This window comes from Homo sapiens, chromosome 21, assembly GCF_000001405.40.
Source record: "Homo sapiens chromosome 21, GRCh38.p14 Primary Assembly".
Classification (NCBI taxonomy): Eukaryota; Metazoa; Chordata; class Mammalia; order Primates; family Hominidae; genus Homo; species Homo sapiens.
In genome coordinates this window covers 34,202,022-34,228,338 of record NC_000021.9, presented here as the reverse complement: position 1 = coordinate 34,228,338, position 26,317 = coordinate 34,202,022, and the positions used below count along the sequence as shown (strand labels likewise).

The following is a 26,317-nucleotide window of genomic DNA, read 5'->3' as shown; positions in this document are numbered from 1 at the left end:
TTGAAACAGATTAAGCTGGACCACAAAAGGCTGGAGGCCAGCAAGCAGGAGGCCAGACTCCCTTGAGGCCAAGCTGGATAAAATGCACCCTTATTCCCCAGCTGCTCCTAGCTTCGATTTGGCATGGTGTGCTGGAGCAGACACCCTTCGCCATCCTCTCCTGTTGCTCAGCTATGTTTGAGTTTGGGAGAGCGACAATGGTGCTTGCTGCTCTCCTGACCAAACTACAAGCTACAAGCTCAGGAGATGAAATTTCCCTCAGGCAGCTTCCCGTCTGCTCTTAGGGAGTCATCCTTCCTGGAGGAGCCTCGGGGTTCTCAGAGGCACCTTGTCCGGCCTTGTCCCTTCATAGCAGGACCTGGATCAGGCAGCTCGCAGAGGTGGAGCAACATGACTGTGCACCTGGTTGCTTCTCCAGGCCCAGTCCCATCTGGGTTGATTTTGAAAGAAATATTTACACTAAAGGGCTTAAGCAGAGGGAAGATTTCACTGCCTCTTATCTCTCATAGTTTAGAAAAACAACCAACATTTCATGAACGCGTGACCCTGTGGTGCCTGTGTTTACGGCTCACTTCTCTGGGGAGTCTTCTCTTCTCAGAGCCCTGTCCTGGCTTCCTTTGCACCGCTCACTTCCTCTTGGACTCCCAGGGAAAAATAGGATTCCCATGGACATGCCACATCCCTGATAAGGTTCCCTGAACATTCCAAGTTATCCACACTTGAGACTGACATTGCTCTATGCCCCATCTATGTAACGGCAGCTCCCAGTTCTTGTCCTCCAGCCAAAACATCATGAGTCACTCAGCTCCAAGGAGACCTGGAGACCCTCCCAAACACACAACTCCTATATGCAGCACAACCAGCCCAAAGCCATGTGACCAGGCTGCTCACACTCATGCCCAGCCCTGCAAAGGCCCTGCTCTCCTATCCGTCGCCCCAGCCCACCTTTGTACACATGCACTCCCCAGAAGACCTCAAGGCAAAGGATCTCCAGCTCCACACCCCACCCACCACTGGGTCTTCCTTTCAGGCTGAAGCAGACTTCTCTTATGCCAAAGCACTTATCCTTCTCCAAGGAACCAAGTGGAAACCTAGAGTGGGAATTCCATACCCATCCATCCTCTCCCATCATACCCTCTCCCATCTTCCTCCTGACTCAATCTGCCATCCCCCTCTCCCTCCTGCCTCCGATGCTGCTCTCCAAATTCTTGCTCCATGATCGCAAACTCTCTACCTTTGCATCTCAGCCATCTCATCGAATGTTCCCTCCGACTCTTGGCTTAACTTAGTGATTCCCAGCCCTGGCTTCACATCAGAATCCCCTGAGGAAATGTTTAAAAAGATACTTCTGCCCAGAAAGGGCTGGCTACCTAATTTCTGAAGCCAAGCACAAGACAAATATGCAGGCTTTCTTATTCAACAAACATTAAGGATTTTCAAGATGGCAGCAGCAGAGCATTAAAACAAGCACAGGGCCCATCTGAGTTCCACTGTCCAGGTCCAAGGCCATGGAGCAGCCCTGTGCCCAGGTACTTGCCCTAAACCTTCAGATTTAATTAGCCTGGGTAAGGCCCTGGAATCTGCATTTTAAAAGCTCACCAGGAGATGCTGAGGAGACCCAGCTGCCCCAGGCTGACCAAGAGATACTGCGTCTGTTGCAGCCCTCTCAAATGGAAACTTTTGGAACCAGAAGTTGGGCTCCTGTCTTCCTGGCTCCATAGAGTCACTTCCAGACTTTTTCTCTGTGTGGTCTGGAAATTACAGTCCTGCAAATTAGCTGCTCAACTAGATCTAAGGTCAATCTTGGATTTTCACTGCCCTTGTCTAGGACATTTCTGGACTTCTCTTAGCACCTTTCCTCATCCAACCAATATTTAGCAAACAGTTCACAACTTTCTCCACCCCCATTCATGTTGCTGCCTCAGCATCCCTGTGTAAGGCCCAGCCAAGGTCCTGGCCCCTCGGCCCCTTGTTCGCCCCATGATCAGTGACCACCTCTCTTCTTCCACCTCAGCACCCATTCCCATGCTCACTGCTGGGATCTGGCCAAGACTCAGAGCTCCTTCACTCCTAAATCTCAAACCCAAGTTCCCCACTCTCTGACCACAGCATCCTGTCCTAACCTCTCTCTCATCCCCACTGAGGCCTTCAGTCCAGTGACCACCCCCCCAGATATTCCTTATCTATTACTTTTACTCGCTTCACCTTCCATTTTATCCTGCTAACATTCAATAGTCCAATCTTGTAATTACTCTCCTCCAAATACAGATGCTCTTAGACTTATGGTGGGGTTACATCCTGATAAGCTCATCCTAAGTTGATGATATCGTAAGTCAGAAATGCATTTAATACACCTAACCAGCTAAACATGCTAGGTTAGCTGAGCCTACCTTCAATGCACTCAAAACACATTAGCCTACAGTTGAACAACATCATCTCACACAAAGCCTATTTTATAATAAAGTGATGGGTATCTTGTATGTTATTGAATACTGTACTGAAAGTGAAAAACAGAATAGCTGTATGGGGGCTGGAAGTACAGTTTCTACTGAATGTATATCACTTTTGCACCATTGCAAAGTCAAAAAAATCATAAGTGGAACAAGTCAGAGACTGTCTGTACTAGACATTCCCTTCCTCTCTGTCCTTACGTCTCACCTATCTAGCAAAATTCAAGCCTTGGGTGGATGTCATCATCCACTTTCTCTACACCTGCTATTGGCCAGCAGATCACTGCTGGAGGGACATCCCAGAACTGCACAGCCACCCATCTTGGCTATGCCCTCAGGACTGCCTGGTAATTGGAACCACAAAGGGCTCCTTCGGTCAATACAGGCTCTTCTTTGCACAATTTATACTTCAAACCTTCTCCAATCTCACCACGTCTGAAACCACTCCTTCCTTCCTTCACATTCAGCAAATGACCTTGTCATCTACTGTACTGAGAAAAGAGAACAAACTGTCTCACCAAATCTACAAACAGATGTCCCTGAGTTTGCACCCACCTCTCCCTCCTCCTGCTGAGAGGGCCAGCTCCTTCACAGATGCCCTCTGTGCCCTGTGCCTGTTGCTTTCTCGAGGGCCTGGTGCTACCAGCTATCCTCTCTAGCTTGTTCCTTCCATCTCCTCCATCAGCATTTAAATCCCCTAGCTGCAGGTGGGCACAGTGGCTCATACCTGTAATCCCAGCACTTTCGAAGATTGAAGTGGGCAGATCACCTGAGGTCAGGAGTTCGAGACCAGCCTGGCCAATATGGCAAAATCCCATCTCTACTGAAAATAGAAAAATTAGCCTGTCATGGCGGTGCACACCTGTAATCCCAGCTACTCGGGAGGCTGAGGCAGGAGAATCACTTGAACCCGGGAGGCAGAGGTTTCAGTGAGCCGAGATCATGCCATTGCACTCCAGCCTGGGCAACAGAGCAAGACTGTCTTAAATAAATAAATAAATAAATAAATAAAAATTACCATGGCTGCAATCTTTGAAAAAGGAAAGGGAAAAAGAAAAGAAAAAGAAAAGGGAGAGGGGAGAGGAGGGAAGGAGAGACCAGAAGACCCTCCTCTTCCTCCAGCTCCTATCCTCTCTTACTGTCTTTTTTTTTTTTTTTTTGGCAGGGTCTTGCGCTATTGCCCAGGTGGGAGTACAGTGGTGCGATCACAGCTTACTGCAGCTTCAACCTCCTGGGCTCAGATGATCCTCATGCCTCAAGTTCCCAAGTATCTGAGATTACAGGTGCATGCCACCATGCCTGGCTGATTTTTGTTTTTTGTATCTTTGATATAGACGGGGTCTCACCATGTTGCCCAGGCTAGTCTTGAATTCCTAGGCTCAAGTGATCCAACCACCTAGGCCTCCCAATGTGCTGGCATTACAGGCATGAGACATTGCACCTGGCCTCTCTTACTCTTGCCTTTGTGGCCACACTCCTTGTGTCTCCCTCATCTGCCACTGACCCCAGACCCCATTCCCACAGACTTTCACTACACCACTTTAAGGAAACAATTCTTAATAAGGTCTCCAATCATCTCCGTTTTAAACAGAATGGCTACATGTGGGGCCTCATCTTACTGGACCTCTCAGTGTCACAGAAACAGGCTGACCACTCCCTTATTTCACAAATACTTTCTCCCCTTGGCTCCTTCACACCGTTTTCTCTTCCTATTTCTCTAGCTTCACTCCTCGGTCTCTTTATGGGTTCTTCCTCCATGCCGTAAATATTATATGGTGGAGCTCTTGAGGCTCCATGCTAGGCACTGTTCTTTTCGCCCTCTACTCTCTATTCCTGGTTGATCTCAACTACTGCCATTTCTGCAAATATCATCTAAGTGCAGACTCATTTTTCTCTCCAAAGACATGAAATATCAATGGCTATTTCCCTCTCCCATTCCATAAGCATCCTGGGCTGATAGTAGACTCTAGGCTCCCCATGTCTTGCTGCTCTGCCGCCCCTGGGATATTGCATTCATCTGCACAGTCACGATAACTCACCACCATGTCTGTACTACAGCCTTTGGGAAGAGGAAAAGTGGCAGGGAACAGACAGACCCTTGCCCTTTGAGGACACACCCCAGAAGTTGTATACATCACTTCTGCCAACATCTCATTGGCCAGAACTTGGGCCAATGAGCTCCAAGGGACACCTGGGAACTGTAAGCTTTATTCTGGATGGTCACATGCCCCTTTAAACTCCTCTTAGAATGAAAAAAGGGGAAGGCAAATATGGAGAGAAAACTACAAGAATCGGCCACAGGGCTCAGCAAAATGTACCAACTTCCTCTTTTGTCAAATAAAAACCTTTTTTCTAAACCTATCATGTGTTGCCATTATTTCATGAAAGGATACTTTTAACGCCAAAATTGGGGAAGACATACTCTCAAAATAGAGAACAGTCTTTTAAGTGAAATGAATTTAGATGTATGGAAGAAAGCACTGTCTCATTCTTGTTTTCCTCACTTCCCTTGAAACTAGCACAGCCGCCAAGCCTTGGTCTCCTGACCTGAACTGGGAGCCATGTTTGAGGAGCGGCTGTTAAGAGTGTTGCCAATGTCATCTTCAGCTCCCTAAGCCAATCTGATTTACGGGGTGACTACGAGAGCTCCCAGTGTTATTGACTCCCAGGCTCCACCTGGTACTAATATAGAAATCCATGCCTCCATCCCCTCAGGTCCCTTCCCATTTCCAAATGCCCAGGGCTGACCAGGTCCCGTGCAGTTGGGACGCACTGCTGTGGCTGCCCTCCCCATCCCACTTTGGGCCTTTACGTGACATCAGGGGTCTCCAGAAAGTTCGACCACAGGGTGCTGCTGCCTCCCAAGACTATTCCAGACAGAAGAGTCTCCCCAGCAGAGATGATGATGTCTCTTTGTGGCCAACCTTGAAGGGTCACACCTTTGTCACTAGCATTTCTTCTTCCTGCTTCACATACTTCCATGGAGGATGTGTCCTCAGGAGACCACCCCTGAGACTCCCTGAGAAACACTGGGTAGTGCCCCCTCTTTCATTGGCCGTATCAATCAAGGGAGGACTCAGCGTCTTGTCACTTTCAGGTGAGTTTCTCCCGAGACGGACACCTTTGGCCCTGTCTTTGCACTGAGAGTCATCCTCACCCCCACCCTCAGACCTCTCCCCATTTCTCTAGGAGGCCTGGGGAACTTCTGAAAAAAGAACCGCTGGCCTGCCCCACATCCCAGAGTCCTCACTGCAGCCACACAAATTAGGCCGTGGACTAGAAGGAGCTAAAGAGCTAGGAACTCTTCTCCCCCAGCTCCAGGAAGTGGAGAAGGTCTGCTTTGCACCCCCTGTCTGCTCCTCCACTTACAAGGTATATTCTGGGGGGTTCACAAGCTCTCGTCTGTGTTACTGGAAAGGGAGCTTTGGACAAGCTGGTTTTCTGACCTACTTTTCTTGTGTTCGACCTTTGAAAAACGAAATGTTTCTCTCACCCACGGAGCTCTTCACCGCATCTTCACAAATCCTAAAACTTAAGGTTTGTTTTCAAGTATCTTCTCCACGTTTTTTTTTTAATTAGACATTCCTAGATTTGAGTCCTAGAGTTTTGGTACAGGATGGAGCTTAGAGATCATCAGATCCGATGGCTTCATTTTATGGCTGAGAAAACTGAGGTCCAAAGATGTTCAATGGCCACCCGAGGTCACACGGTAGCCAGCCCCGGCGTCCACGTCATGTGAAGACTCCACAGGTACCTTGCAGGGGCCTGGCCGCGGGGGATGAGACGTTGGACCCTGGCAAGCCCGAGGCAGCCTCCCCTTTCCTGCCGCCGCTGAGTCTCTGCCCTCCACGCCAAATGGAGTTAAGAAACAGAGACAGACTGCACAGGAAATTCTCACGGGAGGACTTTTCAAGATCCGTTAAGAAAATGTTCTCTTGTTTACAGCTGAGTGCATCCTAGATGCAATGCCAACAGCATTCACTCTGTTTTGTTTATTTTAACCAAGAAGGGAAATTAGTGGCAAAAGAATATTTTGATAATGAATGGAAAGTTAGTCATGACATTTTTGAGGGGGAATACGCAAATAAACTTTAAAAAAATGAGAGCTGTCTCAACAGACAACAGAGGGGATTCATGGATCTCTGCCAATTTCAAGAGATATTTGGGGTGTCTAGAGTTTTCTGTTTCTTCCATGCACATAGCATAAGCCTTTGGGGTTGGGGAGGTGTGTGTGTGTGTGTGTGTGTTCTTCTAAAGCAATCCTAGTTAATGGAAAGATTTTCAAATATTTGGAAAGGGATCTCAGAACTTTACAGAACGCGACCGTATCTATTTCAAAACAACCTGGGAGTATTTGGTGTCCACTTTGGCCTGGTAAATTTCCACTGCGGGCAGCACTGCACAATTTTTTCATTCCAACTCAACTCGCTTCAAGTGGCGTGATTTGATTAAGCATTTCTTCACTTTTAATGGCATGCCAAGGCTCCAGGGCATCATTTTTTGGGTGGCCCCAAGTGGGCTGGGGTGGGGGCGGGAAGACATTCGAATCTATAAAGGTTTGTTTCTGACCTTGTCCTCCAATGTAAGTCTACCTGGTGCCTGGCAAGACTTCCCATGTTAGAAACAGGCCTGACTTTGCTGATCGTGATTTTTCTATGGTGAGAGGCAAGAAGCATCCAGTGGGGAGTCAGTACCTGAGGAGCTCAATGAAAGGTGCAGGGGACAAGTCTCACATAGCACTTGGCTGAAGTCCCTGCACCACCCAGGAAGTTCTATCTCTGGGCTGCCCACTGGCAAACTCTATTACCACAGTATTTTAGAAAAAGTTTCACTTAACAATATCAAAAGATCTTGACCTTTGAGCATAGTCTTTTCCTCTGTAAAACCAGATAATAATATGACTTCACTGCTGAGGTTGAGGGGGTGTTAGAAATATTATAGTCCTGGAACATGGTGAAACTCCACAAATGGTATTTATAGATGGTGCCTTTGATTGTCATGGTATCCATTATCACCATCCTCCTTCTTCGAAGAACCCCCATTTTGTTCAGATATCTGCTCCACTCTCATACAGCTGTGTGCCCAGGGCAGGGCCTCAGGGAAGAAGAGCCTGAAAGGGCCCAAGATTCCTCTATTCCCAGTAGCCAGTGATTTTCTCAAGATAAGCCTAAGGCACAGTGATGACCATTACAATGTGAATAGAACCTGCAGTGGGGGTACAGTGAGGACTGGGAATGTCTTCTCTTCTGAGAAGAAGCCACAGGAAGAGTGTCCTTCACTCCTCAGGATGTTATTTCTCAAGCTGATGCTGTCATCTTGAAGCCAGCTACAAGGATGGGGCCAATACCAAGCATGACAGAGCAGAGAGAAGGAAAGAGACCACACTATCAAAGTGAAGTAGCTATTAAATGACTCCAAAGCCCATTATTTCTGAGCTTCTCAGTAGCCCCCAAAAGCAGTATCCCAGGCCACTTAAAGTTCCCAGACAGGGAGACGTTGCAAGCCAAACATGCTCCATGTGACCAGTCTTCTCCAAATCTTCTCTGGCTGGAAATACTCTTTGCCTCCCAAGTAGTGAGTGAGCTGCCTCTTCACTCCCCGACACCGGTGAGCCCTCCCTTTACCCCACAGCAGTGAGTCGTCCTTCCCCCAAACAGGAGGCTGAAGGGAAGATGAGTGCAGGGAGGGTGGTCTTTCAAAAGAGTGAGAGCTGAAAGGAAGGGGAAACTTCAGCCAAGGAGAAAGGACTGGCTCACTACAGGAGAGCCACGAGGACATTTCAACTCGAAGATTTGCAAAACAGCAACGGATCTGTGTGTTTTAGATTCTGCTCCGGGGCGTACAAAGAAGCCATGGGGCTTCATGGGGCTTTGGCAATATTGCCACTCCACCTACTGGGAGGCTTTGGCTACAAATAACAGAAACCCCTGCTTGAACCAGCATCATCAATAAGATAATGCATTCTCTTATATAATACAAATGCTCTGTAGGGGAGTTTTGGAGACAGTTGAATAAGTGGTTTAAGAATGTCAACAATTATCCAGTTCTTTCCATCTCTGCTTTTGGTGTGGGCTTCATTCTCCATCTGGTATCAAGACCACGGTGGGAATTCTAAGCATTTCATTAATGATCTCCACCAAGAAAACAAGTGGCTCTGCATTCTGAGCCACTCAAGTACTACTGACTACAGATGGATGGGCTTTGAGGGAGGACAAAATCCAAGCTCCCAATACCCAAAGTGACATTTAGATCTAAAGAGACATTTTATAGGCTATGAAAAGACAGTCTGCTTGCCCTGAATTCACCAACAACAAAAAGGAGGCTCCATATCATAGTGGCCTCCTTGAAATTGCGAAACAATATACTTCACACCCCAGGGAGTTTCAATTCAGCCTCTATCCCAAATCACTAGGCAAGTGGCCACATTTGAGGGGGATCCAATAGCAAGAAGCTTTAGAAGCAATCCAGGCAGCAGTAAAGGAAGCTTTACCCAAAGCCCCTATCTCCTTCAGATTCTATAAAATCTCAGTTGTCCATTAACACACTTCCCTAATGGGGTTGGACAAAGAGACTCCACCAGTATTTCTAAACCTCTTAGGACTTGAGGGCATCCTCCACCTAGTAAAATGCAATGCCGAACTTGTAGCTGACTCACAGGTGAGAAGTAAAAAGATAAAACTTGACTGTATATCAAATACCTTTTCAAAAAGAACTACCAAGGAATGGCCAAAAAACTGAGGAGAATATTTGCAACATTTATGACAGAGGCTTGATATCCTTATTTTATCAGGAACTCTTACAGATCAGTCTTTAAAATATGAACACACATATAAAGTGTACACAATTCACAGCACATAAAAAACATTAAAATGCTACCACTTGTGAGTAACAAAAAAAGGAAAGCTTAAAAAATAGACGCATTTGTTTCTTTTTTTCTTTTTCTGGTTTGTTCACTTATTTGCTTCATCATAAAATGGTGACGAATACCACGCAGAGACGGGAGGTGGCACTGGGACTGTTACGTGCTGCTAATGGCACTAGAAATCCATGCAAACTTTCTAGAGGTCATTTTAGCAAAATAGAGCAAAAAGACTTTAAAATGTACATAAACTTTAAAGTCATGGTTCTATAGCCAAAAATGTATCCTGAGGAAAGAAATGAAGAATTACCTGAGGTGGTACTATACACTCAAAATTATTCAACCTAGTGTTATTTTTTATATTAAAAAGTTAGAAATTAGGGCAGGTGTGGTGACTCATACCTGTAATCCCAACACTTTGGGAGGCCGAGGCAGGCGGATCACCTGAGGTCAGGAGTTTGAGACCAGCCTGGCCAACATAGTGAAACCCCGTCTCTACTAAAAATACAAAAATTCACTGGTCATGGTGGTGGCACCTGTAATCGCAGCTACTCAGGAGGCTGAGGCAGGAGAATCACTTGAACCCAGGAGGCAGAGGTTGCAGCGAGCCGAGATCACACCACTGTACTCCAGCCTGGGCGACAGAGTGAGACTCCGTCTCAAAATAAATAAATAAATAAAATGCTAGAAATTACTAAAATGTCTAATAATATTTTCATTAGCTAAATGAATGATGATACATGCATTCCATAACATAATATGCAACAACACAGAAGAATGTTTTACCATAGGGACAATGGTAAGTTAAAAGAGTTACAAATCATTAAGATCAGTATAAATTTTGGTAACTATTTGCATGGTGTATCTTTCTAGCTTTACTTCCAAACTTTCTGTATCCTTATCATTAAAGCATATCTCTTGTAAGCAGCAAATAGTTGGTGCAATGTATGGTTTTAATTATATTTAAAAGTACACAAACTGGAATGCACACTTAGAGGGCAGTATGCACCAGTATGGACACAGAGGGTGCTAAAATATTAAAAACAGGGCTGGGTGCGGTGGTTCATGCCTGTAATCCCAGCACTTTGGGAGGCCAAGGTGGGCAGATCACCTGAGGTCAGTAGTTCGAGACCAGCCTGACCAACATGGAGAAACCCCATCTCTACTAAAAATATTAAATTAGCCAGGCATGGTGGCACATGCCTGTAATCCCAGTGACTCAGGAGGCTGAGGCAGAATTGCTTGAACCCGGGAGGCGGAGGTTGCAGTGAGCTGAGATCGGGCTATTGCACTCCAGCCTGGGCAACAAGAGTGAAACCCTGTCTCAAAAAAAATAAAATAAAATATTAAAAACATTTCATAATAAATGATAAATAGTCACTTCCCAAGCCACTCCCCAGTCCTCCTAACTCCCCCACAACCCAGGACTTCCCAGACCTTCCCATGGTCTAGAACCTAATGGGTCAACACCCAGTACAGCAAAAGCCAGCCTCCCAGACTCCTGTCCACCCCGTTGGTCGTGCCCATGCGGAACCAGCTGTTAAATATTCTATCATTCCTATGTGTAGGGTGTACACATATGCATATGCACCCAAAAGAAAAAAACAAAAGGCCATATTTTGCTGTACTGGGTGTTGACCTATTAGTTTCTGAACCATAAGAAGGTCTGGGAAGTCCTGGAGAGAGACTGGGTAGCTGGGGAATTAGGATAGTTGGGAAGTGGCTCAGAGAAATGACCAAACACAGTGTTCATCTCAGCATTGGAATTATTTTTATTAACTGTCTGGGGTATCAGTTACCCCACATACAAAGTAGTTTTATTTAATTAGCATTATTTAATTACCCACGTATCAGTAGCTTTATTAACTACTTTGTGTGTTTTCATATTTCCCCCTTTTTTAACAGTGAAAATGTCTTACTTATCAAAAAACAATAATACTTGTTAAGAAATAAAGAGTTTGGTGAATCCATGAATAGATTGCTTTTTCATCCACTGTCCCCTATGCCCCCCAACCAGCATCTGGCCCATCCCTAATCTCTATTTGGAATACCAAAGCCACTCAAGCAACCATATCCCTCAAAATCAAGCAGCATCTGATCTTGATATCAATAACCAGATTTTTGTTCTTGACAGCCAGTTCAGCTTCGGGAGGAAGCGTGTCAGACAGCAACATCCCTGCATGCTTTGAGGATGCCAGGCAGGCAGAAAGGACAAATCTGGAGGCTCCTTAGTCCTGCTCACTGGGTGGGTCTTCTACTGTTTCTGGGAGTGCAAATTGCTGCAGCTTTTTTTGGAAAGCACTTCAAACTTGTCCATCAAAAGCTCAAAGGCGCATACCTTCAGCCCAGCATTTAACCTACAAATCTGCTCACACACTTAACAAAAAGATGTCTGCACAAGTATGCTCCCTAAATTGTTTTTGTAAATAGCACACATATGGGAAAGAAACCCTACATCTATTAATGCACAGGAAATCCACTACAGCTGCTGAAAACACGAGGGAAGGCTACATGTGCTGATACGGAAAAATATCCAAAATGCATTGATGAATTTTTTTCAATCTGCAGAACATGTATACTATGATTTCATTTGGTTTTTTTTAAAAAAAGAAGAAATCTGTATCTACAAATATAACATTTCTGGAAAGGTTTGTGAGAAGCTGTTAGCAGTGAGGACTTATGGGAATAGGAGGGGGAGACTAGGGAGACTGCTTAGGGCTCTTTTTCTTTCCACTTTACAGCCTTTTGTAGTGTTTAAGCTTTTTGTCATGAGTAACAATAATTTTTAAAAATCTGCTTCCTGACGTTTTAGCCCAAGCCTAGGCAAAACAACAGCTACAGCCCAGTGAGCTAGCGAGTGGGTAATTTACGTGTCAGGGGATTTGCCCACGGAATGACTTCCATCCTAGCAGTCAAGGTCACCTCAGGGCAAGGCCTCTCAAACTTTCCACAGAAGTACCCCCGATGACAAAATAGAACAAACATGTAACCTCAGGGGATGAAGGCAATTGGCCCAAATCTCTGTCGCAAACAAAATTTCTTTAGTGTTCAGACTATCTTAAAAATTAAGGCAAATTTCAAATTTTTACTCAATAATAGAGTCATATTTAATTTATTGTAAAAAAAAATGTTCTCTTCAAATCTCACTTATGGATGTCTGGACATTATGTTGGTAAATCCCTCAATCCTGTTTCACACATTAAAATTCTGGATAAAACTTAACAAGAAAAAAATGTATTCATAGCCTCCAAGGCGTGAAAAGTGAAAGTGATGATAGGAGCTCAAGACGAGGGACGTATGGAAAAGTGGGACTTGACATAGGCTGGGAGGTGCAGATTTAATGCCCACATGAGAAACGAGCCTGGGCAGAATCTAGTGTGTGCACAGGAAGTGCTGTGCCAAAGAGCTAAAATTCATAGGATTTTAGGTTTCATAAACTGCTGCTTCTAACTTAAAATAAGAAACATGGATAAGAAAAATTCTACTCACCAGGATGAGAAGTCACAAGGAAGCTTGCCATCCACTTGCAACTTGGGGAAGAAAAAGAGAAAAATACTAGAAATCAGAATCCAGGCCAGGGCTGTTAGGATAGTGACTTACCACTACCTGCCTAGCACGATGGCCTCAAGCCACAAATCAATGTAAAAAGTAGTTCAGAACTCAAGAAATCCACAAGGACCACGTTAGAGAAAAATGCAAACCAATTCTGTAGAGGTGATCCCCAAACCCAGGGAATAGGGCCTTACCATAAAAATATGAGCCACACTAAAGATAAGCAGAAATAACAAACTATTTGAGGAAATGAATCACCATGAGGGAAAATCCACAGATCCAATAAATAGGAATAATTGCATATCAAGAACCAAAGATAATAGGACAATATGTTTAAATTTAACATGTTTTAATATGTTTAAATAGATAAAGGAAGAAATTTAATATGTTTAAATTGATAAAGGAAGATTTTTAATATGTTTAAACAAAGGCCGGGCACAGTGGCTCACGCCTGTAATCCCAGCACTATGGGAGGTGGAGGCAGGTGGATCATGAGGTCAGGAGTTCGAGACCAGCCTGGCCAACATAGTGAAACCCCGTCTCTACTAAAAATACAAAAATTAGCCATGCATGGTGGCAGACGCCTGTAATCCCAGCTACTCGGGAGGCTGAGGCAAGACAATCACTTGAATCCAGGAGGCAGAGGTTGCAGTGAGCCGAGATTGTGCCATTGCATTCCAGCCTGAGTGGCAGAGTGAGACTCCATCTCAAAAAAAAAAAAAAAAGTTTAAACAGATAAAGGGAGAAACGTAAACAGAATGAAAATAAAACAGGCATATTATCAAAGGACCAAACAGAAGTCTGAGAGAGAACACACATATATTTTCTATAAGAAAGTACAATTGAGGTACTGAATAGGATATCTGCCATAAATGAGGACAGTATTAGGAAACTGGAAGATGGCTGGATGCAGTGGCTCATACCTGCAATCTCAGCATTTTGTGAGGCCGAGGCAAGAGGATTGCTTATGGTCAAGAGTTTGAGACCAGCCTAGCCAATATGGCAAAACCCCATCTCTACTAAAAATACAAAAATTAACTGGGCTTGGTGGTATGTGCCTGTAATTCCAGCTATTAGGGAGGCTGAGACACAAGAATCACTTGAACCCAGGAGGCAGAGATTACAGTGAACTGAGATTGAGCCACTGCACTCCAGCCTGGGCAACTAAGCAAGACTCTCTCTCCAACAACAACAACAAAAAGAAACTGGAAGGTTAGACAAACTTACCCAACATGCCTCAAAAAATAAAGACATGGAAAATATGAGAGAGAAGAAACATGAACATTTAAATGAGAAGAACCAACATATGTCTAAGAGGAGGTCCAATACAGAAAAGAAGGAATTGGGCAATATTCAAAGAGGTAATGACTGAGAACTCTTGAATATTGAAGTAAGATATGAAGCCTCAGTTTAAAAAGTATACCAAAACATAAGAAGGATAATTCAAATAACTACATGCTGAAATACATCATAGGAAACTACAGAATACCACAGGCAAAGAGAGATAGACATTAAAGCTGAACAACGCAAGTGTGAAAACATTAACAAGGTTGAAGGAGAACTAAGTTACATAATAAATAAGGAAAAAAAAAAACAAGAGACCATATTGTCAAGTGACCACAAAACCTCAAAATTTTCGAAAAACAAAAATAGAACAAAAAAATTTCTTTAATGACAATGTAGAAATAACATCAGAAATTAAAAAAGCAAAAAGCAATTACTATGTGAATAATTTTAAGTACTCTTTTAAACAATTCTTGAGTCAAAGAAAAAAATGCAAACATTAACACAAAATAACAGAAGATGGTAATAAGGAAGACACTGCCATCAGTACCTATAGCCATACAGCTAAAGCAGTACTTGGTGAAAATGCAGAGCCTTATTTAACTGTATTAATAAGCATAAAAAAATTTAAAAAGTGAATGAAACAACATAATAAATAAGTCAGAAAAAAGCAACCACATGAACCGAAGGATAGGATGGCTGAATGAATAAGTTAACTATGAAAAAGTTAGAATAGGATGATTATAAACCAGAATGGGCATAGTGGCTCACGCCTGTAATCTCAGTACTTCAGGAGGCCAAGGCAGGTGGATCGCTTGAGGCCAGGAGTTTGCCACCAGCCGGGCTAACATAGCAAAACCCCATTTTTACTTAAAAAAATACAAAAAATTAGCCAGGCATGGTGGCATGCACCTGTAGTCACAGCTACTTGGAGGCTGAGGCACAAGAACTGCTTGAACTGGAGAGGCAGAGGTTGCAGTGAGATCATGCCACTGCACTCCAGCCTAGGCGACAGAGTGAAACTAAAAAAAAAAAAAAAAAAAGAAATTATAAAATAGAAGACTATAGACCTAACTGATAAATAATGCAACAGCTGTTTCATTGAAAAACAAAATAACAATGCAATATATAAACTTCTGGCTAACAAAATCAAGAAGAAGGAAGAAAGTAAATATATAAAATGAGATTAAATAAATTCAAACAACCAGAGAAATCATGGAAATTAAATAAATTATACAGAATTACTTTTTTCAACATAATAAAAATAAATCTTCAAATATATGGATAAAAAGGACAATGTCCCAGAATTGAGCTGTTCAATACAGTAGCCACTAGCCAAATGTGAAAATTGAACACTTAAAATGGAATTAGTATAAACTGAGATGTGTTGTAAGCACAAAATGCCACTAAATTTCGAAGATTTAATAAAGCAAAAAAGAGTTTTTCATTAAAAATTTCAATTGATTACATGTTGAAATTATAATATGTTAGATACATTTGGTTCAATAAAATATTATTTAAAATAATTTCATCTGCTTTTTAAAAACTTTTAAAATATGGCTACCAGAAAAATGTGAAATTATACAGATGGTCCTTAACTTACAATGGTGTGAAAGCAATACACATTCGGTAGATAAAATGCTTCAAGTATACCCATACAACCATCCTGTTTTTCACTTTCAGGAGAGTATTCAATAAATTACATAAAATATTTAACACTTTATTATAAAATAGCCTTTGTATTAGATGATTTTACACAACTGTAGGCTAATGTTAGTGTTCTGAGCAAGTTTAAGGTAGGCTGTGCTGTTATAATGTTCAGTAGGTCAGGTAATGTTAAACTCATTTTGACTTATGATATTTTCCATTTACAATGGCTTTATTATAAGTTGCCTCTGTTTATATAGGCAACTTATGTTGCCTCTGCCTATATATAGCTTTATATTTATATTGTATAATATAAATATGCACTGTACAACTTATATTGTACAATGCCGTAAAAGAAAATATAACTTGTTAAAACACACTAGAAGAATGAGAAGATCTAATAAACTAATACCCATAGAGAAACAAAGAAATTTTCCCAAAAGATTCTCCCTGCCACCCTCCGCCAATAAAAGCTCCAAACCAAGTTCATTTCTCATTAAAGAGCAGTAGGTCCAATGGTATTTAAACTGTGCCAGAGCATTTTTAAGAGAAAAATGTTCAAATGCTCTTTCTGAAATAACCGCAATAGAAAGCCTAACAACGACTGCACACAAAAATTCATAAATTAATTTCACTTATGGATACTGAAGCAACAAACAAACGAACCAACAACAACAAATACTAAATATAAAAGACTGATAAACAGGATACTTGGCCTTCTTGTACTCTACATACTTGTGGAATACCGTAGGTCAGAAAGATCAACAATCTGTAATAACAACCAGGTAAATGAGAAATAATCATACTCTAAAGACAGTAGAGAATCACGGAAACAACAAGGACTAGGTAAAGAAAAATTCCAGAAGAGGAAGAGCTCATCCTAGATGAGCTGAATGTGAGCTAATAATCAGCCTGCCTCAAACAGAGGAACTCTACATGGGAAGAGAAGCCAGCAAAGCTTTCAGCTAGTGCAATGGATTAGAAATTACAAGAGCCCAAAATACAAAGCAATTTTTTCCCATGAGACATTTGCTAAGTTCTGGGGTGTCCCGAGGGGAACAGGGTCAGAAAGGCAGAGTGAAATATTCTTCAGTCTTGTAGGTGTTTAGGAAACGAACTCTCATCAGAGGGAGAAGCCTGCAAAATACATGGCCAGTCTTCCCCTCAAGACATTTGCCAAATTTTAACTTTCTTGGGATGATCGTTTAGCTCAAAACCTCCAAAAGACAGGACTTTCCAGGCAAATCAGGGGTGAAAATCATCTACTAAAGTAGAATCCAGCCTCAAGCCCACCCAGTCCCTGATTGGATTGAAACAATCCTCTTTTCATCTTATCTGCCTAAAAGAAGGAAAAGGCAACCCTCAGTGGTAGAGATATCATCTGCAGACTTTATGATTCTGAAAAAATATGAAAAATGAGTCAGGCATGGTGGCTCATGCCTGTAATCCCAACACTCTGGGAGGCCAAGGTAGGTGGGCAGATCACCTGAGGTCAGGAGATTGAGACCAGCCTGGCCAACAGGGTAAAACCCCATCTCCACTAAAAATACAAAAACTAGCCGGGCATGGTGGCAGGCGCTTGTAGTCCCAGCTACTCAGGAGGCTGAGGCAGGAGAATTGCTTGAACCTGGGAAGCGGAGGTTGCAGTGTGTCGAGATAACGCCATTGCACTCAGCCTGGGTGACAAGAGCGAAACTCCATCTCAAAAATATATATATATATGAAAAATGTGTTAAAGAAAACAATTATAATCCATGAATGTAACAATTAGAATATACTCAAGTGGACATTCCACAACTAAAAATACAATGGCTGAAATTAAGAACTTGTTGGCTTTGAAAGAAAACTATACAAAGCAAAAGACAGGATTAGTAAACCAAAAAACAATATAAAACACAGAGAGAAAAATGAATGGAAATAACAAAATAAAACATAAGTGAAATTTGGGACACAGTCAAAAGATCTAATAAATGCCTAAATGGAGTCAAGAAAGAGAGAATAGAGAGGTAAGGGCACGGCAATATTTGAAGAGATAATAGCCAAGAACTTTCCAACACACTGATGAAAGATGTCAACCCATTGATCCAGAGTCTCAGTGATCCACAGGGAAGGTAAATAAAAAGAAAATCACACCAAGACATATCTGAGTTAAACAGCTGAAGACCAAAGATGAATAAGAAAACCTCAAAGGCAGCTAGAAAAAAAAAAGTAGCCCAGGCACAGTGGCATACGTCTGTAATCCCAGCCTTTGGGAAGCCAAGGTGGAAGGATTGCCTAAGCCCAGAATTCAAGACCAGCCTGGGCAACTGATACAGTTTGGCTGTGTCCCCACCCAAATCTCACCTTGAATTGTAATAATCCCCATATGTCAAGGGCAGGGCCAGGTGGAGATAATTGAATCATGGGGGCAGTTTCCCCCATACTATTTTCATGGTAGTGAATAAGTCTCATGAGATCTGATGATTTTATAAATGGGAGGTCTCCTGCACAACCCCTCTTGCCTGCTGCCATGTAAGATGTGCTTTTGCTCCTCATTCGGCTTCTGCCATGATTGTGAGGCCTCCCCAGCCATGTGGAAGTATGAGTCAATTAAACCTCTTTCCTTTATAAATTACCCAGTCTCTGGTATGTCTTTATTAGCAGCATGTGAACAGACCAATACAGCAACATAGAAAGACCCCACTTACACACACACAAAAAAACCCTTTTTTTAATGAGCCTGTGGTCCTGGCTACTCAGGAGTCTGAGGTGAGAAGACTGCTTGAGCCCAGGAGGTTGAGGCTGTAGTGAGCCATGATTACACCACTGCTCTCCAGCCTGGGTGACAGAGGAAGACCTTGTCTCAAAAAAAAAAAAAAGTATATTAACTTGAAGAGAGCAATAGTTAACACTGATGGTTGACTTTTTCAACAGAAAGCATGAAAGCCAGAAGACAATGGAATTATATCTTTAAAGTGTTAAAGTAAAATATCAAGTTAGGATGCTATATGTAGCTAAAGGTTCTTTAGATCTGAAGGCAAAATAAAAATAAATGCAGGGGGGGAAAAGCTGAGAAAACTCATCCTCAGTGGAGAAGCACTACATGAAATACTACAGAACAATTTTTTTCAAGCTGAAGAAAAATGTTTCCAGATAGAAGCACAGAACTTGAGGAAGGAACACACAGCACTGAAAAGAATAAACATGTAGGAAAAGATTTAAAAATATTTTCTGTCTGAAGCAAAAAAGATAATAATGTCTTATGAGCTTTATGACACATGTCAAGTTAAAATTATACAATACCCCAAGTACATCAGTCTGTTCTCGAACTGCTTTAAAGAAATACCAGAGACTGGGTAATTTATAAAGAAAAGAGGTTTAATTGGCTCATGGTTCTGCAGGCTGCATGGGAAGTGTGACAGCATCAGCTTCTGGGGAGACCGCAGGAAACTTACAGTCATGGCAGAAAGTGAAGGGGAAGCAGACACGTCTTACATGATCAAAGCAGGAGGAAGAGAGAGAGAGGGTGAAGGTATCACACACTTTTACACAACCAAATCTGGTGAGAACTCACTCACTATACAGTACCAAGGGGGGACAGTGCTAAACCATTCATGAGAACTCTGCCCTCATGATCCAATCACCTCCCACCAGGTCTCACCTTCAACACTGGGGATTACAATTCAACATGAGATTTGGGTGGGGTCACCATGTGTGGGAGGGAGTAATGGACTTAACCTGTCATAAGGTTATTGCATTATTATTAATTAAGAAGTAAAAGTAACTTAAGGTAGAAAGTAATAAGTCAAGCATACATAATGAAATCTTTAGGGCAATCACACAAAGTATAACTAAAAAGCTAATAGATAAGAACATAGAATAGAAAAATACACGATTAATCCTCAACCATGACTGATGCTTTATTCTTTCTTCCTTTCATTTTGTTGATTTATATTTTGAATGATGTTATTAGATGCATATAAGTTTCAATTCTTAGATATTCTTGTCAAATTGATCACTTTATTATAACAAAGCATCTCTTTTTCTCTCTAGTAATATTTCTTCCCCTAATGTACGGTTTTCTGATATTAACATAGCCACACAAAATTTGTTTGGGTCAATATTGCTTGGTACAACATTTTTCATTCTTTTATTTTCATCCTAACTTTGTCCTTCTATTTAGTATGTATTCACTGTAAACAGTATACACATGGGTCTCAACACTTTTCATTTAATCCAACAAGCTTTTCTTTTAATTGGAGTGTTTTGTATTTATATTTAGTTACTGGTATAAGTGCATTAAGTCCTACCATGTTGGTATTTATTTTCTATTTATTTCATCTTTTCTACTCCTTTGTTTCTCGTTTTCTGCCTTTTTCAGGATTGATCATGTATTTTTCTATTCTATTTTTCTCATCTATTAGCTTTTTATTATATTTTTTATATTCAAATTCTTATGTATATATTGCATACATAAACATATGCATGTATATGTATAAATTCATATATTTGTACACTACGTATCTCTATACTTTATGTAAACTAAAGATTTGTGCACTTTTATAAATAAAATGTTAGCAAATATATCAGCCAACAGAATTCATCAGCAAGTGAAACAATAATGTTCACCTTGACAAAATGGGCCTTATTCCAGGAATGGAAAGATGGTTCAGCGTGAAAAAATCCAATTCAAATAATAATAATTCTAAGGAGAAAATTATGTAATCACCTCTGTGTATGTGCAAACAGAACTCAACAAAATGTAAAAATCCATTCTCGATTTTCCATGGTCAATAACATAGGAACCCCTAAATATTGCGTGTGTGTGTGTGTGTGTGTGTGTGTGTGTGTGTGTGTGTGTGTCTTAAACTCAAAAACAAAAAGTATGCTTAATCAAGAAATACTAAAAGCTTTTACCCTTAAGTCAGGAATGAGACAAGCATTTTCTCACTATCATGTTGTTATTTAATTTTGTACTTGAGATATTAGCCAACACAATTAGAAAGAGAACAAAATCAAAAATATAAAAAATGGATAGAAGGAGGTAAAACTATCACTATTTGCAGGCGATTTGGCTTATGCTTTGAAAAAACAAGATAAATAAGTGAAAACAACTATGGAATCATGAAGAAAATTCAATAGGAGAGCAGGATATGTAAAATTAATAGAAATCAATAGCTTTTGTTTATATGTTAGAAACAAATTCAGTTAGACAATATAATGGGAGAAAAGACTTCATTTACGAAAGCACTAACAAAGATAAAATATTTAAAAATAAGTTTAAAAGAAACATGGAAACTGACATTAAGAAATCTTTTAAACACTCAGAACAACAACAAAAAGACTTGAAAAATAAAAATCCCCATCATGTTCTTAGGAAGACTTAGCTTCGTAGGGATGTCAATTTCCCTTAACTTATAAATGTTAACATATAACTGTTATCCCAGTAAAAGAAGTTTTTATCTATACAAAGTGATTCTAAATTTTACATGGAAAAATAAGAATAGACCAGCTATTTCTGATAAAATAAATGAGGAAGTTATACTATATATTAAAATATATTTAAAATCTTCAACAATTAAAACATAGTAGTGGCATATTACTTATTAGACGGACATATAGCACAGAATTGAAACCCTGGAAAACATCCAAATCATGCAATGATTTTGTTTAGGATTAAGATGGCACTCAACTACATGGGGAAAAGACAGATTATTCAATAAATGGTGTTGATAACCACCACTTTTGGATTTTGAATATGGGCTTCACATTTATAGTAGAATAAATTCTGACTGGGTCAAAGATTTAAATGTAAAAAGAAAAAACATAATACTAAAACAAAAATGGGAGCATGAGGAAGGCCTTGCTAACTACAACTCAAAATCTAGAAGCCACGAAATAAATGGTGAATAATTTCAACTGCATGAAAACCAAAAGCTTTTGCATGGCAAAAAGCAATTGAAAAAGAAAAAAAAAACACCCTAAGCAAAATCAGTAACAAATGACAAAATGAGGAAGATGTGTAACTCACATCACAAAGGATTAATTTCCCTAGTATATAATAAGCTTCTGCAAATTGATGAGTCAAAAGGCAAACAAACCAATAGAAAAGTGGGCATGGATATGGAGAGCTCACAATGAGAAACATACAAATTAAAACCATACTGGTTTTTTCAAATTTATCGAATGGCAAAAATCCAAAAGTTTAAAAGCCAAGTCTGTTGGTAAGCTTTGAAACATAGGCACTCTCTCTGATACATTGCTGCTGAGAGCATAAATTGGCATACCCCCTGTAAAGGCTAATTTGGCAACATCTGTCCACATTAGAGATGCATTTACCCTTTGACTCAGCAGTTTCACTTCTAGGAATTTACCTTATGCATAAACATAATTGTGTGCTGAACGAAGAATTGCAGTTGTCCACAGCAGCATTGTTTGAAAGCAAAATACTGCAGACAACTTAAATGTCCATTTCTAGGGGATTGTTTGGGCATATTTTAGACAGCAAGAAGCACTAGTAAAGAAAAATGAGGAAATGGTTTATGTACTATGATGAAAAGATCTCTAAGATGCACTGTCAACTGAAAACAGTGAGGTAAGGAACACTGTACTGTGTATTAGCAATCAAGTAGAAAAAGAGTTGGGAGTGGGGGAAGAACATATTCCATGTGCTTGTATGTGCAAAAATCCCACAAAACTCTAGAAGGATAAACAACAAATTAATAACAGTGGCTATGCCTTTAGGGTGGGGGATAAGAATTGGGCAGATGGGGGCCGGGCACAGTGGCTCATGCCTGAAATCCCAGCACTTTGGGAGGCTGAGGTGGGTGGATTACCTGAGGTCAGGAGTTCAAGACCAGCCTGGCCAGTATGGTGAAACCCCGTCTCTACCAAAAAGACAAAAATTAGGCGGGCATGGTGGCAGGTGCCTGTAATCCCAGCTACTTGGGAGGCTGAGGCAAGAGAATTGCTGGAACCTGGGAGGCAGAAGTTGCAGTGAGCCAGGATTATGCCACTGCACTCCAACCTGAGTGACAGACTGAGCCTCCGTCTCAAAAAAAAAAAAAGAAAGAAAGAAAAGAATTGAGCAGATGGGAAAGGACACTTTTCACTGTGTAATGTCTTATACTTGTTGATTTTTTTAACCATAAAATGCATTACTTATCCAAAAAGTTAAATAAATAAAACGTTCAGCTATGTGAAGGAAGCATAGGACAATATCCCTCTCTCTCCCTTTCCTTACCCCAGAGCAGCCTGGCTCCTGCAGAGCTGAGGAACTGAGCACGTGAGGTTGTCTTGGTTTCACAGAGCCTGGAGTGGGCATAGCTGAGTCCCTGAAGGTTACACGACTTGCTCAGGCCTGTCCAGTGAAGTCAAGGGCAGTTCCAGAGCTGGAAGCACAGGGCTGGGACGTGGCCTCTGGTCTCCTCCAGTGAGGAGGCAGGTGCCCAGGGGCAGGGTGCTTCTAGATGGCCCCCAAAGGAGCCCACCATTGCTACATTCTAGAGCAGCTGAAAGGGAGCCCAGGGCCGGCCAGCCAGCTCCGCAAAGGATTCTGGGTGATGAGGCATTGTGGGATTTTCTGAAATGACTTCATGTCATTTCTCTACCCCAGATCACCCTCCTCGCCTGGTGAGAGTTGAGAGGTCTCAAGCAGGATTCCAAAACCGAGAAGGGTCAGAGACTGGGAAAGGAAACTGGCCTCTCCAGCAGGAAGAAGCTGCCCCCAGGCCCTGGCCCCAGGATCTTGACTAGCCTATTAAAGACATGAGACTGAGGCCTGGACACTGGATTCCATTTTTTAATTTCCCTGGGGGAAACATTCCACACAGCAACCAGCAGGGTCATTTACTTCTTCAGGAGGCCTTTTATCACCCTGTGGCTGGAGGACCATCTGCAGCAGCCCCTGCTGTGCGCTGGCAACACTGAGCAGCATGTGCGCGGCTGCCAGGGGCTGCTGGCCACCTGGGCCTGGGTAGGAAAAGGACTTAATTAGCCACAAAGAGCTCCCTGAGTATGCAACTCAGAATCACTCAGTCTGTTCGCAAACAAGTAAAGCACCTACCATGATCCCAGCATAGTCCCGGTTGCCCCTGGGGTTCCCAAAACCCCAGCCTCCCTCATGCTTCTAGGCCCTCCACACAATGCAGCGAGTGACACGAATAGTCTTGCATTGGTCACTAACTGCCTTTTGCAGCTAAATTCTATTCACAGCAAGTCTGTGGCCTCCCCAAAGCTAAGGATCCCTGTTATATCTCCGGATATTCACAGAGCTCCCAGCGCAGCCGAGAACACACAGCCAGCCCTGCAATAAATGCTTGTTGGTTGCCTGCCAGGATCCAAGCTAAAAATGGAGTTGCCTTACGGCCAGGTAAGACCCAAGGCAGAGCTTCAGTCGTGCCCCCCCCCAGCTGTCAGGAACACTCACTGCAAAAGTCGGCCCTTCAGGTCACCTTCAAGGCCCTACAAACTCTATCCGGACCTGCCCCCCCATCAGCCTCTGACCCTGGCACTCATACCCCTCCAAGGACAGTGCCGGCCTTCCTGTTCCTCCAACAGGAAAGGCCACCGTCTCCCCTCAGACCCACTGCACTTGCTGGCTGCCCACTTCTAGAATGTTCTTCCCCTAGAAATCCATGGAGCTCACCCCCCCATCTCCCTGTCAGGTCTCTGCTCAAAGAGTATCTTCTCCATGAGGCCTCCTCATCACCCTATTCTAAAGCACTCTCACCCCGCATTTCCCCATCCCCCTTTCCTGCTTTCTTTTTCTCTATATCACTTACCACTGCCTAAACAGGAAAAAAAAAAAAAAGATTTTTCCTATTTATTTTATCACCGGTCTCCTCCAATCTAAGCTTTCTAAGAGCAGAGCTTTTTGTGTTTTGTTCAGCTGTGTATCCCTCCAGGCACAGAACAGGGCCTGGAGGGTTCAACAAGGCCCTCCAGGGCCTTGAGTAGGTGCTCAACAAATATTTACTGAATATATTAATATATGTATTGATTGATTAATTTAGCTGGGGCTCTTTCTTGAAGTTAATCGAATTAAAACAACATAGATTTTACATTGCTTGTGCACATGGATGAAAAACAGTTCCCTATACTTCTTTACTGTTTCATAGACGTAGTTTTATTTTATTTGGGTCTCACTAAAGACCTTACTCGATTAGATGGGGCAGAAATGGTTATGACCTTGATTTTACAGAGGCGAAAACTAAGACTCTGAAGGGTGAGATTTCCCCAGGACCTTCAACTGGTCACTAGCAGAACCGGGGCATCCAGGTTTCAGGTCCCATGTGCTGGGCTTTGTTTACTAAACCTCAGGGCTTTAGACTCAACCTCAGGGCTTCTCCGTGGATTCTTGCTGAAGCTTCCTACTTTGTTTCAAGAACCTGTATTTCCCCCTTTCTTTCTCTTCCCTCCTCCCAGATAGCTTGGGGCCCACAGTTCCCCACCCCTGCCCGATGCAGATGGCAGAAGAAACCATTGTAAGTCTCCTCGAGCTGAGCGCTGTGCACCAGGTCGCATTCTAAATTTTTGGACTGCGTTCACCAGGGTCTTTCACATTTGCAAGGAGCAGAAACAGGCCTGGATCCTCTGAAATAACAGGGAGGTATTGCCATAATTCACACAGAGTTAAGAAAGATAGGATTTCCTAACACAGACCAACCTCGCGGAAAAGCTGCGGCCCCAGCTCCGGGGACTGGAACGCAGGCTCGGGGCGCCTCCCCCTTCCCTGGCTGGCAAAGTCCTGTCCTCCATCTCGCCTCCATCCCCTCCTCCCCTGCGCTGGCAGAATGCGCAACGTGTCCCTTCTCGGTGGCCCTGGAATTTTCTGTGCGTCTCTGAATCATGGCACCGGTCTTGCTCCATTGGTTTTGACTGCTGGTCTTGGTCTCCTTCGTCCACCTTTGCGAACTCATCACCCTTTGCTCTCTAGGACCCACCGGCCACTTCTAAAAGGGCACCATAGTTCATAGGTGGATTGATCTAGAAAGGTGCCTCCTTCATTCTCCCCCACGATTTCTGGGTTGAAAGCCTGGTGGAGGCAGGGGGACAATTACAGGCAGGATTTATAACTTGGGTGGGCAAGCGTGGGGGTGGAGGACTGTGGCCTCTTTCTCTCTCTCTCTCTCTCACACACACACACACACACACACACACACACACACACACACACACGGAGGGAGGGAGAATGTCACCATTTGTCCCCCAGCTCCATTCCCCACTCCGCAATGATACAAGCATCGCCTGCTTTCTTTAATTTGCTTCAAGAGCTTTTGGTGCAGAGAGGTGGGAGAACAAGGGAGACCCCAACTTGTCGCACGGCGACTCGTGGCAAAACGCCTGGACCCCGGGGCGGTTTCGCTCAGCTCTTCCCCAGCTGGTGGCCACTCGGCGGCCGGGCTGCGGCATTCCGAGCGCGCGATCCCGCCAGGGCCGCCACCGAGGGCAGCGCCGAGAGCATGGAATTTTCCACCGCTCAGCCGAGTTTGCAGAATTGCGTCTCATTGGCCGAGCGGAGGTGTCTGTCCCCGCGTGGGTGCGG

At 42.8% G+C, this 26,317-nt stretch overlaps 1 annotated feature.

The window, feature by feature from the left end:
* Positions 23,684–24,682: an enhancer, noted in NCBI's record as "H3K27ac-H3K4me1 hESC enhancer chr21:35575958-35576956 (GRCh37/hg19 assembly coordinates)". NCBI's record gives its function as "activates a minimal SCP1, AML or CMV promoter by ChIP-STARR-seq in naive and primed H9 embryonic stem cells {active_cell/tissue: H9 hESC(naive and primed)}" and the evidence as "EXISTENCE:reporter gene assay evidence [ECO:0000049][PMID:30033119]".